Source organism: Homo sapiens, chromosome 16 (assembly GCF_000001405.40).
Source record: "Homo sapiens chromosome 16, GRCh38.p14 Primary Assembly".
In the NCBI taxonomy this organism is placed as follows: domain Eukaryota; kingdom Metazoa; phylum Chordata; class Mammalia; order Primates; family Hominidae; genus Homo; species Homo sapiens.
The window spans coordinates 73,046,777-73,061,322 of NC_000016.10; the positions used below are offsets into that span (position 1 = coordinate 73,046,777).

Consider the following 14,546-nt stretch of genomic DNA (forward strand, 5'->3'; position numbering starts at 1 on the left):
AAGCAGGACCCAGTATGAAGGAGAGGCCTTCCTTCTGTGCCCAGGCAGAGCCATCTGTTCTCTCTGGGGTTTTCTGTCAGTGGCTTTAGGGAGTCTTCAAGGACTGTTAAATGACACAGAGGGTGGGGGGAGGGATGACCCTCCTGGATTCACCTGCTCACGGCTTTCACTTAAGCCAGTTTAACACAGGAGGTACCACTGTGCCACGCAATTCCCTCTTAGCACACACCATGCGTGAGCTGCAGTCTTTGCCCTCCAGGCCTTTTCCTATCATAACACAGGTGTGTCCAAGGCAGAAAAGAACATTTTCCAGAAGGTTCGTTTCCCTCCAAGCCTACAATGCTTCTTTTTGTTGTTATTGTTTTTCTGCTACTGACCTAAACATAGGCATTCCTCCTCCTAACAGGATAAAAATCTTGACTCTCTCCTTTGCATCAGCTCCCCACCCCGCCCCTGCCCAAGGAAATAAATGCTCTGACTTTTCCAAGAGTGCGAAAAAACTAAAATTAGAGGGTGGACAAGATGATCTCCAAAGGTGCCCTCCAGCTCCAAAACTCTGATTCTCCCTTTAATTACTCCACAAGCGCATTCTTCACATTGTTTCGAACTGACCAGCGACTTCTCCAGGGCTGAAAAGGGTGCATTTTTAGGCGGAGGCACCCAAACTTCTAAATGACACCAGTACCACAAGTATTCAGAAGGCAGGAACTAATCCAAAAGCAGACTCAGGAAAGGAGGAGGGAGGGGAGGACAGAGGGAAGGGAAGGAAGGAGGAAGGAAGAGCTTTACTGTGTGCCCAGCAGAATTTAGGCGCTCTCACCCTAGGTAGGTGGCAACTGGAGTCTGGGAGTTCAAGTGCATCCAGCCTGCCCTTCCCCCACACGCCCCAAGAGAATGGGAAGTTCAGCCAAGACTCGCAGCACCTGCCCGCGGCTCCAGGCCGGCTGCGCGGACCCGGAGGGAGGCTGCACTCACCTGGCACACCAAGCCTCCGCGCACCTCCGGAGGGAGGCGGCACTTGCAGGTCCGGGGGCCGCGCCGCCATGCGCAACAACGGGAAATTCCAGTGGCACCCGAGCCCCGAGCTCACCCACCCCAGGCGGCATGCTCCCCACCTCCCGCTGGCCCCAGGACTCGGAGGTGGCTCTGGTCAGGAGCAGGGGGCCCGGAGACAGGGGAGGGGAGCTCATGGTGGCGGCAGGGCTGGCGGTCGGCCCGTCCCCGGAGGGAGGTCCCCGGGACGCGGCGGGGATTCACCCACGGGGCGCGGCGCTGGCGTCCGGGTCCCCGGCCTGCCCGCCGCCGCCGCCTCCTCCTCTGCCGCCGCCCGCCCGGAATCGCTTTATGTAAATGAAGCCCAACTCGCAGTTTGCAGCGCGCACCGCCCGGGGAAGGGGGGCGGGCGGGGCGGGGGGCCTTCGGGGATCCACATTACACAGCAACAAAGCGGAAGGTTAATTTGAAACTCACAGCCCCGCTGCCGCTCGGCTCCCCGGGCAAAGCCTGACATCTACAGTCGTGCCGGGCGCAGGCCGGGTTGCTCGGCGGCGACCGCGCCCGCCCGCCCGCAGGGACCCGGGGACGCACAGGGACGCGCGGGACCCGGGCGCTCAGCTGCGCTCGCTCCGCTTGGGGCGCGGGCCTTGGGGCAGGCCGGGGGTCCCGCGCACCCGCCTGGGGCCAGGAACCCTCGCCGCTCGGCCTGCGCCGCCCCGGGAACCGGCCCCGGCGGGAACAAAGCCCAGGCCCTCCCGGAGGCGCTGACCCCTCGCTCATCAAAGGTCAGGGGCCGGCCTAGAATCGGGCGAGAAGAAAGGGACGCGCCCTCGGCCACTAAAAGGAGCCTGAGGCCTCCGAACCGGAGCCATCGCTCCCTGGGCCCCGTCCACGTCACAGCCAGGCCACTCAAGCATGGGGACAGGAGCCAATGTGGACAGGAATTTATTGGAAACACACACCCATCCTATTAACTGCTTTACAGAGCACTTCTGTTTTTCAGTTGCAGAAACTTATAAAAACATCCCCCTGCTCTCCGTTGAGAGTTTAAGGATAGTTTTTGAGGCCAGAGAAAGAGAAAAGGAGAGATCACTAGAAAGATAGGAAGAAAAGAAGTGGGAAGAAAAGGAGATGCAGTCTACCATGTAAGCCTCCAGGCTCCTTAGCCTCACCTTATAAAGCCACATCACCGCAGAGATAGCAAAGATCGTGCCCTTTCCCAGGGAGTTCCTACCGCCAGGGTAAGATTTAAAGCGGCCACCCCAGTTGGTCAAAGTGATTGCTGGGCGCCTTTCTATCTCCCCAAGTTCACCTTTTCCAGTTGGTCAAAGCGATTGCTGGGCGCCTTCTATCTCCCCAAGTCCACCTTTTTCCATTCTCATCTGAAAGCCAGCCCCAAAGAAATCTCACCGGAAGTCCTCTGTCCTCCCTGTCAGAATCCCACCCTCAGTCTGAATTTACTCCCGATTCTCACAGCACAGAAAGGCACCTGCTTTTACCCTTTCTGAAAACCACCCACCCAGGCTGGCCTTACAGCCTGGAGAGTCTTTTCCTCGGGCACAATAATGAACCATGCAAGTGTTAGAAATATAATCAGCTCATGAGGCGAAGAGCAGTATGTATGGAATTGTATTAGCATGAGGCACACACTGACTCGGGAGAAAAAGGGATGCTTAGCTGGTGAAAACCATCACATCCCCGTATAGAAGGCTTTTTGCACAATGTAAGTTGGGTTCAGATTAATGTAAGTATCTAACCTGTTGGGTACAGACAGCCCCTTTCTACATTTTAGTCCAGAATAGATTCTGGGGAAATTTATTTATTTATTTATTTATTTCAGCTAAGGCCCTGGGAGAAAAGACTGCCTCCAGGGAATCATGTCCGATTAGGGACAAAGGAGGGCACAAGCCCAATTCAGTCACACGTGAGAGCACGGGGGCCGGGTGGGGGGAGTTAAGAGCCAACAGGGAAGGTGGAGGATGAGTTTGCAAACCAGACTATGGTCACTGCAGAGCTGCTTCCAGACCACCTGACTTCAGGCCCAAGAACAGGTGGTGTTTTCAAAACACACTGTTATTTATATTGGCCATATAAGTTGAGAACACCTTAAAGAAAACAATTAATAATTTAATTGAAAAAGTGACTATGAATAAGACATGAAGATGACGTATGCTAGCAGGACCGCAAGCAACGTGGCCCACAACGCAGAGATGCCTCTGGCAATCTCTCCGGAAAAACGAAGATTCCTTACCTGGGATAGGTAAGGCCTGCTGGATAAATTAAAGACAACAAGAAAATGTTGATACTCTCAGAAAATCTAATTTTGCTGCTTTATCTTCATTTTTATTAACAGGGGACAACCTCGTAATCTGGTGACATCATGATCCTGGTAGGCCCACAGACAAATACCTTCAATAAAATAAAAGCTAGAAAGCCCAAAGAACAAGCTATTAAAGTAACCTGGGAGGATGCAGCACTGCCTGGGCAGAAGGCCCGGACGGGATCTGCCCTAATACTGCCACTGTCCCAAGAGGCAGACCCTGCAACCTGCCTCCTGCACTTGAGAGGCCTGACAAGTAGAACTGAGAGTGACCCTGAGTTCCTTTTCTTTATCTGGCACCAGCTACACACATGATGAGGCCTAGTCAAGCCTGCCTTTGTTCCAGGCAAAAATTTAACAGGTAATCCACAGGCAGGTGATCTATGGCCTCTGTACATTATGGAAATGAGGGACTACACACAAGCTGGGTGTCACCTCTACTAAAACTCATTTTCCTTATTCATAAAAACAATACCTCTTCAGAGGGAATTGGCAACTTCTGCACTTACATATGAAATCAGGAGTTCCTCTGAAATACTCCTTGCAAATTCTATCCTCCAGCTCTGGAAGCCCTGGCTCTTCGGAGGGCAGCTGCCTGATGTTAAACCCATGGCCTACCCAGCAGTGACAGCCTGACATTCTCATCGCTCCATCCTGAACACTGCTGACAAATAAACCCACTCTCAGAAAAGGCAATTCTTCCCTCGCAGTTCTCCATACCCAGTCTCGTCTCATCTGGAAAGCGTAATTGGCAACAGCCGAAAGGATAAATATTTAAAAATAAATCAGGGAGCGCTAACCCCTTCCCTACTCCTCCCCTTACCCACTCTCCAAGCCAGAGGCCTGCCCCCTAACGCTGAGCTGGCTGGTAAATTACAATGATTCTACCGAGCCAAACCTGCTTGTCTCTCTCTTTCTCTACACATACACACTTACTAATGCTGTATCCTTCCACTTTTGCAAAGGTAAATATGATCTCTAAGATACAGTGGATGTCAGCATTCTGACTTCCAGCGTAACCTGGGCTCTCTTTTCACAGTACAGCGGGTTTAGACAGATTTGTGCACCCTTCCGGGTTCTTCTATTTTTATTAAATTATACGTATACATTGATTTTTAAAACTAGTGCTTAAATAACCCGGAGGCTTTAACAAAGAAAAATCCAGAAGAGGGCAAGAAACAAAAACAAACGTTCCTGAAATAAACAAGGAACCATTTGGAGCTGAATTGGCCTGAGTTCACCCCATGATTTTGAGGCAGTTATATTTAGGGGCCTGGTACCCGCTGGGTGGCCGAGCCCTCCTGGGTATGGAACAGAATGCAGAAGTTCCTCAGAACAGCTCACATTTGCCTTCATAACCATTGGAAGCTGGTGTGCCAAGGCCTGCACACAGATGTTTTGATTCACATTTTTCTGCTGAAGCCTCAAGGCCTCCATCCATCCCTACAGTGCTAATTCCATAGATTAATTTTTACCCCCAAATCGTAGGTGGAACATTATCTAATTTCCTTACCCACCCTCCCCAGCTCAGGTGCTAAATCTGTCAATGATATCCCACAACAAAGATACAAATGAGTAACCATTTTTTAAAAGCTGTGATTTCGGAGAGTTTTTCTAAATTAATTTTAAGTTACAAAGCCCCAAGTTTTAAGAAAGCCAAAATACAGAAGTTGCCTTAAAACAGCTTTACATGTTAGGTAAAGAGCTCTCTCTCTCTTTCTCGCTCCTTCTTTTTTAAACAAAAATATTATTTCTGAAAGGGCAAAGGGAATTTGCCATGCAAGACTTTTAAACACAGGGGGATTCTTACATTTGTGTTTCTAAACCTTGAAATTGAGAATTTTAATGAAAAGGCGGACAGATGCTTAAGGACAGCATCGCAATCTGGGTCCATACATTACAGGAGAGAGAGGCGCTTTGTTTGGGGCCAAGTAAAAAGAGGTGGGCTCCTATTTTGTTCATAGGCCATTCCCACCGTCTGACACATCCCTTTACAGTCGGTCTGATGCTAACCACTGAATTCTTGGAGGGGAAGCAGGTTGGAAGGAGAAGAAAGGAAAAGGGAAACAGAAGAGGAAAAGAAATGGGCGATGGGATACTGCCTGTTTATACAAATTGTAGATTTAAAAAAAAAAATCCCAACACGGTATCCATTCCATAGTATGTACCAAAAGCACTTTCACACGTGAGTTAAAACGATCCATTAAATGCTATATCGAAAGTACAACAACCAGGGTTGGAGTTTATTTTTTTTTTTTAATGAAGAATTCATTGAGGTTTGCAGTTCTCCCCTATTAAGCTTCTAAGGATGGGGCACAAGGCAGGAAGATAGACAAAAGATGACCTTTTTCACGCTTTCCCCCAAATAATTCTAGAATCCTATTTTCCTATCTTTTCATTTTAGGGCATTTGGGTTCAAAAATCTGTGCTAATCTGACTTCAGAGCCCCCGAGCTGAAAAATTCACATATCCTCCAAGTCAGCCAGTGTTTTAGAATTTGGATTTCTATTGAGGCTGTTCCAATCGCCAGTGAGGCCTACGGTAAAAACGTGCTTCATGCTGTTTCGTTTGTCTCTCTGCAGACAAATAGAAACTGTGAAATTTAAAGAATGGATGAAAAAAAGAAGTCTAAAACAAAGAGGTTAAAAAAATAGGACAAATGTTTTTGCTTTTCTGTCTCCCCGGAGCAATTGTGTGGGGAAGTCTGCATTGACAATAACCATGAGAAGGCCATCTAAAGGCGATGCGTACACAAGGGGACTCCTTCCCTGCTGCCTTTGGTCTGGGAGAAAAAGTACCTTAGCTCCGTTCTCCAGAAACAAAAGGCCAGGGCCACGGAAGGGGGGAGAGGTGACAGGGGCTTTCACATGGAGCCAAGTGTCAATGCTGGTTCATTTTTCACCCGTCTTACTTGGAAAGCGGCTCAGGGAACTTCCTAATGACTGCTTTTTCCCTCTCTCCCTATTATTTCTAAACCTAAAAGAACAAAACAATAATTTTTTTTTTAACCTAAAACCCATCATTCTATTAGAGGAAAGCCTTTGGGGCCTATGCAGTCAGATTTTCCTCTTTCCTTTCCTCATCCTGCTTTTCTTTTCTTTTTTGGAGGGGGGTTCCAATTGTAGATCACATGGAAATAAGAGACACTGGACACTATAGTCATTTTTAGTGACACCAGAACGGCCTTTATATCTACGAAAAGGCAGGAAACGGGGAGAAACACACATGCACAAACAACCCAACAGGGATGGAAGGCGGTGGTGGGGAGGCTGCGGGGGCAAGGCCTTGAAACACTTTCTTTTTTTCACAGCATGAGGTCCACTAATGCCAGCTTCAGATTTGCAACTGAATCAAAGTCTCCGAGTCGTCATTACAAGGTTTTTCGGTGGGTGGGGGCATGGAGAAGTGGACAATAAGGATGTATTAAAGACACAGACAAGGTGTGGCAGGGGCAAAGTGGGGGGAGGTGTTACAAAGAAAGGAAGCTGAGATGAATCACTGCGTGCCATGAAAATACCAGGGCGAGTGGATGTCGGAGTGTTTAACCAGATTTGAAGCTGGAAGCATCTTCCCCAGCGGGCAAACCCTAGGACGAGGCACAGCCACGCGACCCTCAGCCTTTGAACCCAGACCTGGCAGCTTAGGAGCACACTCCCCCTTCCCCAGGCAGCCACAGGCTCTGAGCTGAAAGGCAAGGCGGGGGTAGGGATAAGAGGGCCCTGCAAAGAAGCACAATCAACAACTCAAATATGAACGGAAATGACGTCAGCAAAGTGAAGGACCTGTTTACTGCAGATCAAAACAAAACAAACTTCCAAACCTTTTGTGTACACAAGAAAACTCTATAAAAAGCCTTCCTAAAATGTCACCAGGGTCGACACATCAGCAGCCCCACAAGAAAACGCATGACAGTTACCATGGAGGGAGGGGGGAGGAAAGGGGCTGAAGGGAAGATGATCTGGGGGGCTGGGGGGAGGAGTGATAAAACCAGAAGGAGCCCAAAACCCAGTTACTACTGCCCCCTCTGCTGATCCTTAATATTTATTGGTGTTTATAATCTAAAAGCCATGCTCCACGTTTCACTTAATACAAGGCCAGACAGTGTTGTCTAATGAGGTAGCATTACAATCAGCTTGTAATACTGAATTTTTAATGCTGCCAAGGATTCTGTTACATAATAATATGAAAAACAGAAGCTGAAAGTGGGCTCGCAGGGGACAGGACATTCGAGGTTCCAGGCAGGCGAGCGCCACCAGCCCGGTTCCCCTCCCCCACACCCGCCCCCCTACTTTCTGACGTGCAATCAACCCTCCATCCCGATACAGGAGGTCGGTATGGAAACCAGGAGGATTTTTTTTTTTTTTTTTTTTTTTTTTAGGAAATCCACACTTTTCATTATTATTGTTATTATACTCTCATCCGAAGTTTATAGCTCAAGAGTTTGAATTCTAGCTTTTCTGGGGTTAAAGGTCTAAAATGAAAATTAATTTTTTTGGAAGAGGTGGCGAAGAGACAATACAGGGGAAGAGAGGGGTAGCTTATTTTAAGCAAACCAAGAAATTTGGGAGAAAAATCACAGAGGGAGAAAGAACTTGGTGGGGGAGGGAATAGATGTCTGCCGACCATATTCACAGCTGCCGCACTCAGTTTACATTGGTGTAATTTAAAGGCATATATATAGCCGCCGTTGCTCCTCTCTGTAATACCCCAAGACTGTAAATCTATAACCACTGCAATGATTTAGTGATTAAAAACATGATAACATATTGTGTAACTGCAAACCACAGAACCCCTGCCAACTCTCTCTCTCTAAGATAAAGGGGAAAAAAATACAGAAAATGTGTTGCTTGCAGCCATCTTCCTAAACCCAAAAGATTTTAATAAAAGAACCTATACAGCAGACGAATTGGAAAGGGGTGAGTGAATTCTGTGTGAAGCCAGCAAAGGGAGAGAAAAAAAAAAAAGGCAGCTTTATGTGGGATTCTTTTCCTTGTACTAACAAATTACGACCTAAACATGCCTTTTCTTTTCTCTCTCTTTTTTTTTTTAATAGTTTGTTGTAACTGGAATAACTGGTCTTGTGCACTGTCTTGCATATTCAAAGCTGCTTTGTAACCGGATCTAGAGACCCAACCTTATTTGCCTGAACTCAATAGGGTTTTTTTCTCCCCCTCCTCCCGGGTTTTGTTTTGGATTCGGTATTGTGGGTTTTCTGTTGTTGCTGGGAGCCTATGTCTATGCAGGCATAGGCTCTGGTGCCTTTAAACCACAGACCAAACACCTGAAAGGGGGAGGCACAATTTGTACAATGGCAGGAGGAGCCTAAAATATACACCAAAAAATAAAATCAAAGCAGCTGTAGGGGTTTTGGCCTCTGAGCAGCTGACCTGACCCCGTTCTGTATATTCTTTTATTTCCCCATTGCAGGATTCCTGCACCTTGGGTCAGATTCAAACTCAATGTGACCCTGAGGAGAAGGCAGTCACAGAGTCCTGAAAAGCTGCTCCATATTTAATAGGGGTGGGGGAAGTAAGTGCATATGCATCCAGACTCCCCCAGTGAAGACACCCACACGGTGCAGACGTACGCGCGCGCGCGCGCGCGCGCACACACACACACACACACACACATACACACACACACACGTCAGGACTGCCAGGCCATGGGACCAGCTCCACCCCAGTTTTCTTGGCCCACACCACTGAGAGCCTGAACTCTCTTTGCGGGCCCCCCAAATCCTCATACCTACAACTCTACACACACACACACACACACACACACGCAGAGAACACCACTCCTCCAGAGACTTTGTATGTTTAAAAAGTCCACAGATCTGAATCGCCTCCTCTCTGGACCGGAGCAGGGCAGTTTATTCAGAGAAATCAATAGGAAAGAGCATTTGCAAATATTTATATAAGCCCTGTGCGTTTCAGCATTAAGTAATTAAAAACTAAAACCCGAGGAGGGGGAAGGGAGACACACAGACAGAGGAAGGCTGCTGGCCTAGAGTAGGTTTTCCTGCCCACACCTCATCTTCCCAAACCGCAGTCTTTTCAAAACTGACTCCGTGTACACTTTTTACGAAATCCTCTTCGTACACCATTTGCTAGACTATTTCAAAATCATCTCCAAATATGGATTCACCTACCACCAAGCTTTCAAGACTGACTGTGTCTGTATTCTATCTCTCTTCTCATACACACACAGCAACTCATACTTTTGACACTGCGTCAATCTCTAGTATATTCTCTTTTATTTTCCTATCTCTAATATACCTGCACTAGTTAAAAAAAAAACAACAAACCTAACATTGTAAGATAAGAAGAGGGCCCCCCAAGTGCCCATTCAAGAAGCAAACTCCCAACCCCTAGGTCTCCTGAATACCCCCCACTCCCCTCAACCCACAGGATGTCTACACTTTGGGGGTTCAGCTCCTGAAACCCCCACATGTAAACAGATTTGGAAAAAAAAACAACTTCAGCAAAATGGAGTTTTAGAATGAGCTACTATGGAGTGGACTTCCCTATATTGTTCCGGAGGGCAGGGCAGTAAATTCTGGTTGTTCTCCCTCTAAATCCTCTCTAAGAAGCCAAGCAAGGCGCTGGAGCACCCACGCTGCAGATATTGTAGAAATTTACAGTAAATGTAGGTACACGATTGCAGCACGCTGCCCTATTGATTATGCAGATTGTGATCAATCTTCTCCCCTCGCCCACTGCCCAAGCCTCTTTCGGAGGACCTCCAAATAAGTTGGTCTGCAACTAGCTATTCTCCCAAAGTAGGGAGGAAAAAAAGTAATTTTTTAAAAAACATAATAAATCCTCAATTGTCCCCACTGAAAGGGCTCGAGTCTTTTTTAAATTCCAAAGTGAATTTATGTTCTGTAATTTGCATTACAGCCAAGCGATCACCGTCTGTCATATTCTTCAAAGGTACTTAACAAACTGCCTTTTAAAAGTCACTAGAACTGGAGGCCAGAAAAAGGCAATCAGCATGCTCCGTCCATACAGTGCTTAGATCAAGTTTCAATAATTGAGACCAATAAAAATTGTCATATTTACCCTACTTGAAAGCAACAAGGGGGAAAAGTTAAGACTGGGTGCCTTTTGAAAGCGCTTGTAATCAAAGAATTTGCCACAGTCCAAAGAATAGCACAACATTGAACAAAAGTCAGATTCTGAGCAACAGCTTCACTCGCAAAGTGATATATACATATTTTAATTCAATAGTTATACAAGAACCCTCCGAGTACTGAGTCCATACACAACTTAATTATATACACTGCATGAAATACACTTAGATCTACTCTCCAATAGATATGCAAAAAGACGGACATTAAAATGCATAATGTAAAATTCAGGAACACGGTTTTTGCATCGAGTGGAGCCGGGCGAGGGGTGAGAGTGGGGAACCCAACGTAAACAATCCCAGATTCGCGAGAGCAAAAAAAAAAAAAAAGAAGAAGAAGAAGAAAGAAAAGAAAAAGAAAAAAGGCATCCTCGGATGTCTCTGAGCTCAGCTGGCGGAAGAAGGCCGGCCGGGCGAGGTCTGGCCCTGGCCAGCGGCGCAGCCCCGAGCCCCCGGGAGCCCCTAGTGTCCAGGGCAGAGTCCCCTCTGGGCGCTCGCGGCGCTGCCAGTGGGGCAGGGCGGAGAGCGCACAGGTAGAGGATCGCGCGGCCGCCTCGCCCCCTCCGGGACCCCGTGGCTCCGAACGGGCTCCCGCGTCGCCGGCAAGTCGAGCCCCAGCGCGGAAGGCGCTCGCCCGGCCAGCGGTGGCGGCCGCGGCAGCAGCAGTGGCTGCGACCGCGGCGACTGCTCCGGGCCGGGTGCGCGCCCCGCGCGGCTGCTCAGCCCGGGGCCCCGGCGCCTCTCGGGGTGGGGCAAAGTTGGGGGCCGGGAGCGGCGGGGGCGGGGGCACTCGGCACCGCGGACCCCCCCATACTCCCCCCACCGCCGGCCGCCGCCTTTGTCTCCGAGCTGGTACCCCGGCCGCCCTCCCGCCCTCGGCCCGCGCCCCGGCCGGCCCTGCCTGGCGGCGCCTCCAAACTCGCCGCGCGGGCCTCGCCCCGGGCGCCTCCACCCTCCCGGGGGTCGCCGGCGGCCGGCGGCGGCGGCGCGGGGCCGGGGAGGAGGGGGCGGCCCGGGCTCGGCGGCGGCGGCGGCGGCAGCGGCGGGAGGAGGAGGAAGAAGAAGAGAAAGAGAAAGTTTGGCGTAGGGGGAAGGCGAGCGGGACGCAGCGAGCGAGCAGGGCGCGGGCGCGGGGAGCGCGGGCGGCGGCGGCCGGGCGCGAGAGCCGGGAGGGGGCAGGACGAGCCCCATGCAAAGCAGCCCGGGCGCCCCGAGGAGCCCCGCGTCCGGGCGGTGGCGGCGGGAGGAGGAGGAGGAGCAGGCGGCGGCGGCGGCGGGAAAAAAAAAAGAGGGAAAAGTTGCCACTTACGCGGTTGCTTCTCCGGCGGCGGCGGCTGCAGCGGCGCTGCTGGCGACGGCGGCGGCGGCGGGAGCTGGCGGCGCTTTTAATCCCGAAAAGAGGCGCTCGGGCCGCGGAGCCCATCAAGGCAGCAGCGGCGGCTGGCGGGGGTCGGCGGCGGCGGAGGACGCGCTGCTGGCGGCGGCGGCGGCGGCGGCGGCGGCGGCGGAGCTGGAGCGCGCTCGGCGGAGCCCGGGGCGGGAGGCGGCCGCAGCCGGGGAGCCGGAGCCGCCGCCGCCGCTGCCGCCGAGCAGCATGGTTGGCGGGGAGTTTACAGCCCCCGGAGCGGGCAGGGGCCACGGAAGAGAAGCGGCGGCGGCGGCGGCAGCGGCTCTAGGCTGTAATTGGGATGCAAAGCAGGCGGCGGCGGCGGCTGCGGCCGGGAGGAGGAGGAGGAGGAGGCGGCGGCGGTGGCGGCTGCAGCGGTCGGAGGGGACGCGCTGGAAGTGGGAGCTGATGAGTGAAAAGAAAAAAAAGTCTTTGGATCTTTATTCTGCTAATTAGTTTCCTGCAAAAAATGGCTGTGATTAATTCAGTGCGCATGTGCTTCATTACCCAGGCACGACGGGAAGGGCTAATTAGCCACCTTCTGGATCAATAAGATTCAGCAAAAAAGAAAAGGGGGAGGTGGAGGGAGGCAGAGGGGAGGAAGGGAGGAAAAAAAAAAAAAAACAGGGGAAAGTGATGAGCAGGGCAAGGAGAGCAGGAAGAGAGGATGGGAGAAGAGCCTAGAAGAGGGAGAGAGGCTCCAAAAGTTTATGCATGTATTAAAAACACACACACACACACACACGACACACACACGAGCGCGCGCACACACACACACACACACACACACGCACACACACACCGAGAAGTGGAATGCATAGGAGCAACAATAGGAACCTGGCTAAGAATCTTTTTAAGATTTTTTTTTTCCTTTCTTCTTCCCCCCCTTCTCTTTTCTTTCTTATTATTTTCCCCTTTCTCTCTCTCTCTCTCTCTCTCTCTCTCTCTCTCTCTCTAAGCAAACGCAGCAATGTTTAAATTAACTAGGAAAAGAGCATCTCCAAAGAATGGGGGCATTAGTGGAGGGGGACAGCTTAGAGTAAAGGTTTAAGTGAAAGAGCAGAGACTTCGAATAGAGACCACTTTAAATTGCAAATCTGAGATTTTTTAACTGAAGGAAAATTACCTCCCCCCAAATCAGAGGACGAATGAAGAAAATATGGAGAAAACTTTAACACATACCATAGACTAGACAAAAAATATATGTTAATTTTGTGTTCTGAAATAAGACGCAATCGGTCTTCTCTGGTTCTTTAGAAGGAGAGAGGAAGAGAGGAGGGGTGATTAGAAGAAATAAAAGGGAGAAAGTGAATCAGAACTGAAAGGGGATAACTTCAGGAAAGACAAGAAAAGGAAAAGTTGCACTTGGAAACAAGTCCAACTTTCTACCTTTCTGGACTTAAGAGAAAAGTAAAATCAATTTTCTCGTGTGAAACCTGGAAAGCAGATGTTTTCAAAACACAGGAAGCTATTTTGCCATCAAAAGCAGGGATGTAATAAAGGCAGTGAAAAATAATTTCAGACTGAATTCATAAGAGAGAAAGCCAATATATTTAAATATAGAGGAAAGGCCTAGGGTGTAGAAAGGGGAAATTACATACCCCTTCCCTAATGCCAAAAAAAAAAAAAAAAAAAGCCTTACAGCTACCTCCAAGAGTTTGGAGCACAGTCACGAAGCCAAAGGGCTTGAAATGAGAGGATGGATTTCAGATAAAGACTAGGAGCGGTACATCCCACTAGAGCCCAAAGGAGATCCCTGGAATCAAAGACAGCAGCGAGGGACCCTACTACTGTACCGATTCCCAGTACATCAAAGCCATCACTTAGGCTGGTGCACGGTACCTCCAAAAAGCAAGCAAACAAACGCAGGAAGAACAAGAGTCAGTGTCTGTCTGTCTCTCTCTCTCTCTCTCCCCCCTCTTCTCTGTCTCTTCCCCCCCCTTTCAAATCCTAGCCTCAGCGTCACTGCTACTGCAATAGATTTTTTAAAAATGACAAGTTGTATTTATGTAAGTTCTAAATATGAACTAATACCATTGAAATTACAATGTCTGGAATAAAATAAAATGCAATCAGCACTTTAAGTAATCTGCAAATGTAAAAACAACATTTATGTTTTTGAAGGCATTATTAGTAAACCCTGTAACACCAGATAGCTTGCTAAAACTTATTTTTCTTGGGAAAAAATGTTGCCCTAGCCTACCAGATTATTTATTTTAGAAGGAATTTGGGAATTAATCAGGAAATCTGTTTGATTAGAAAGTAATTCTTCATTTTGAGAGATTTTCCAATGCTCTTAAGAACATGCAGCTTCTTAGTCAAGACTAGAGAGAAAAAAACCGGTTTAGGATTTTGCAGGGTTACCTCATCTAATCCTTCTGAATTCACTCTGGGAATAATGCTATTTTATTTACGGGGGGCGGGGGAAGAAAATACATTTAGAAAAATCAGGGGTTTCCTCTCTGTGAGCCAAATCTGGGTTGCCATTCAAACTTTTTCTGGCTGCTTTTCCATGCAGGACAGCTGATCAATAAAGCCAAGTCCAGCCTGGCTTGCTACAGGTTTCACCAGTCAGTGCTTGCAAAACCTTTGTCATTTTCTAAAAATAAAAAAGCTAAAAGTTATTGTAGAAGAAGGGGCTTTTTTTTGTCCCCTGCACAATGTGTCTTTTGTGAGGTTAATGCCATTCTGGGCTCTCGATAGCCCTGGACAATG

At 49.2% G+C, this 14,546-nt stretch overlaps 1 protein-coding gene and 1 long non-coding RNA gene across 8 annotated transcripts in view, besides 12 other annotated features; one reads left to right on the plus strand and one right to left on the minus strand.

The window, feature by feature from the left end:
* Positions 1 to 14,546, minus strand: part of ZFHX3 (zinc finger homeobox 3) — a 1,109,046-nt gene that overhangs the window by 263,892 nt on the left and 830,608 nt on the right. For 3 of the 6 annotated variants that reach the window (XM_024450291.2, XM_017023251.3, NM_006885.4), the window contains exon 1: positions 976 to 1,352. The exons of 2 other annotated variants lie outside the window; for them this stretch is intronic. In XM_024450291.2, coding sequence (XP_024306059.1) covers positions 976 to 1,045 — 70 coding nt within the window. In that variant the 5' untranslated portion in view covers positions 1,046 to 1,352. Of the gene's footprint in view, positions 1 to 975; positions 1,353 to 11,753; positions 12,246 to 14,546 lie in introns of those variants that run through there. One more of the 6 variants, NM_001164766.2, reaches the window with a different exon arrangement.
* Positions 646 to 1,181: an enhancer, noted in NCBI's record as "H3K27ac hESC enhancer chr16:73081321-73081856 (GRCh37/hg19 assembly coordinates)". NCBI's record gives its function as "activates a minimal SCP1, AML or CMV promoter by ChIP-STARR-seq in primed H9 embryonic stem cells {active_cell/tissue: H9 hESC(primed)}" and the evidence as "EXISTENCE:reporter gene assay evidence [ECO:0000049][PMID:30033119]".
* Positions 646 to 1,792: a biological region, named in NCBI's record as "H3K27ac hESC enhancer GRCh37_chr16:73081321-73081856".
* LOC124903719 (uncharacterized) lies at positions 802 to 4,012 on the plus strand. 2 transcript variants are annotated; one of them, XR_007065116.1, is made up of 2 exons: positions 802 to 1,024; positions 3,350 to 4,012. It is a non-coding gene; the product is annotated as an uncharacterized LOC124903719 (long non-coding RNA). The 2 variants fall into 2 exon arrangements; XR_007065115.1 differs by lacking the exon at positions 802 to 1,024 and adding an exon at positions 1,741 to 3,256.
* Positions 943 to 1,792: a silencer, noted in NCBI's record as "silent region_7690". NCBI's record gives its function as "represses an Ori minimal core promoter by ATAC-STARR-seq in GM12878 lymphoblastoid cells {active_cell/tissue: GM12878}" and the evidence as "EXISTENCE:reporter gene assay evidence [ECO:0000049][PMID:35858748]".
* Positions 1,718 to 2,253: an enhancer, noted in NCBI's record as "H3K27ac hESC enhancer chr16:73082393-73082928 (GRCh37/hg19 assembly coordinates)". NCBI's record gives its function as "activates a minimal SCP1, AML or CMV promoter by ChIP-STARR-seq in primed H9 embryonic stem cells {active_cell/tissue: H9 hESC(primed)}" and the evidence as "EXISTENCE:reporter gene assay evidence [ECO:0000049][PMID:30033119]".
* Positions 6,361 to 6,861: an enhancer, noted in NCBI's record as "NANOG-H3K4me1 hESC enhancer chr16:73087036-73087536 (GRCh37/hg19 assembly coordinates)". NCBI's record gives its function as "activates a minimal SCP1, AML or CMV promoter by ChIP-STARR-seq in naive H9 embryonic stem cells {active_cell/tissue: H9 hESC(naive)}" and the evidence as "EXISTENCE:reporter gene assay evidence [ECO:0000049][PMID:30033119]".
* Positions 6,862 to 7,362: an enhancer, noted in NCBI's record as "NANOG-H3K4me1 hESC enhancer chr16:73087537-73088037 (GRCh37/hg19 assembly coordinates)". NCBI's record gives its function as "activates a minimal SCP1, AML or CMV promoter by ChIP-STARR-seq in naive H9 embryonic stem cells {active_cell/tissue: H9 hESC(naive)}" and the evidence as "EXISTENCE:reporter gene assay evidence [ECO:0000049][PMID:30033119]".
* Positions 8,427 to 8,939: an enhancer, noted in NCBI's record as "H3K27ac-H3K4me1 hESC enhancer chr16:73089102-73089614 (GRCh37/hg19 assembly coordinates)". NCBI's record gives its function as "activates a minimal SCP1, AML or CMV promoter by ChIP-STARR-seq in naive H9 embryonic stem cells {active_cell/tissue: H9 hESC(naive)}" and the evidence as "EXISTENCE:reporter gene assay evidence [ECO:0000049][PMID:30033119]".
* Positions 10,779 to 11,511: an enhancer, noted in NCBI's record as "H3K27ac hESC enhancer chr16:73091454-73092186 (GRCh37/hg19 assembly coordinates)". NCBI's record gives its function as "activates a minimal SCP1, AML or CMV promoter by ChIP-STARR-seq in naive H9 embryonic stem cells {active_cell/tissue: H9 hESC(naive)}" and the evidence as "EXISTENCE:reporter gene assay evidence [ECO:0000049][PMID:30033119]".
* Positions 10,842 to 11,241: a silencer, noted in NCBI's record as "silent region_7691". NCBI's record gives its function as "represses an Ori minimal core promoter by ATAC-STARR-seq in GM12878 lymphoblastoid cells {active_cell/tissue: GM12878}" and the evidence as "EXISTENCE:reporter gene assay evidence [ECO:0000049][PMID:35858748]".
* Positions 11,522 to 11,741: a silencer, noted in NCBI's record as "silent region_7692". NCBI's record gives its function as "represses an Ori minimal core promoter by ATAC-STARR-seq in GM12878 lymphoblastoid cells {active_cell/tissue: GM12878}" and the evidence as "EXISTENCE:reporter gene assay evidence [ECO:0000049][PMID:35858748]".
* Positions 11,822 to 11,911: a silencer, noted in NCBI's record as "silent region_7693". NCBI's record gives its function as "represses an Ori minimal core promoter by ATAC-STARR-seq in GM12878 lymphoblastoid cells {active_cell/tissue: GM12878}" and the evidence as "EXISTENCE:reporter gene assay evidence [ECO:0000049][PMID:35858748]".
* Positions 11,992 to 12,101: a silencer, noted in NCBI's record as "silent region_7694". NCBI's record gives its function as "represses an Ori minimal core promoter by ATAC-STARR-seq in GM12878 lymphoblastoid cells {active_cell/tissue: GM12878}" and the evidence as "EXISTENCE:reporter gene assay evidence [ECO:0000049][PMID:35858748]".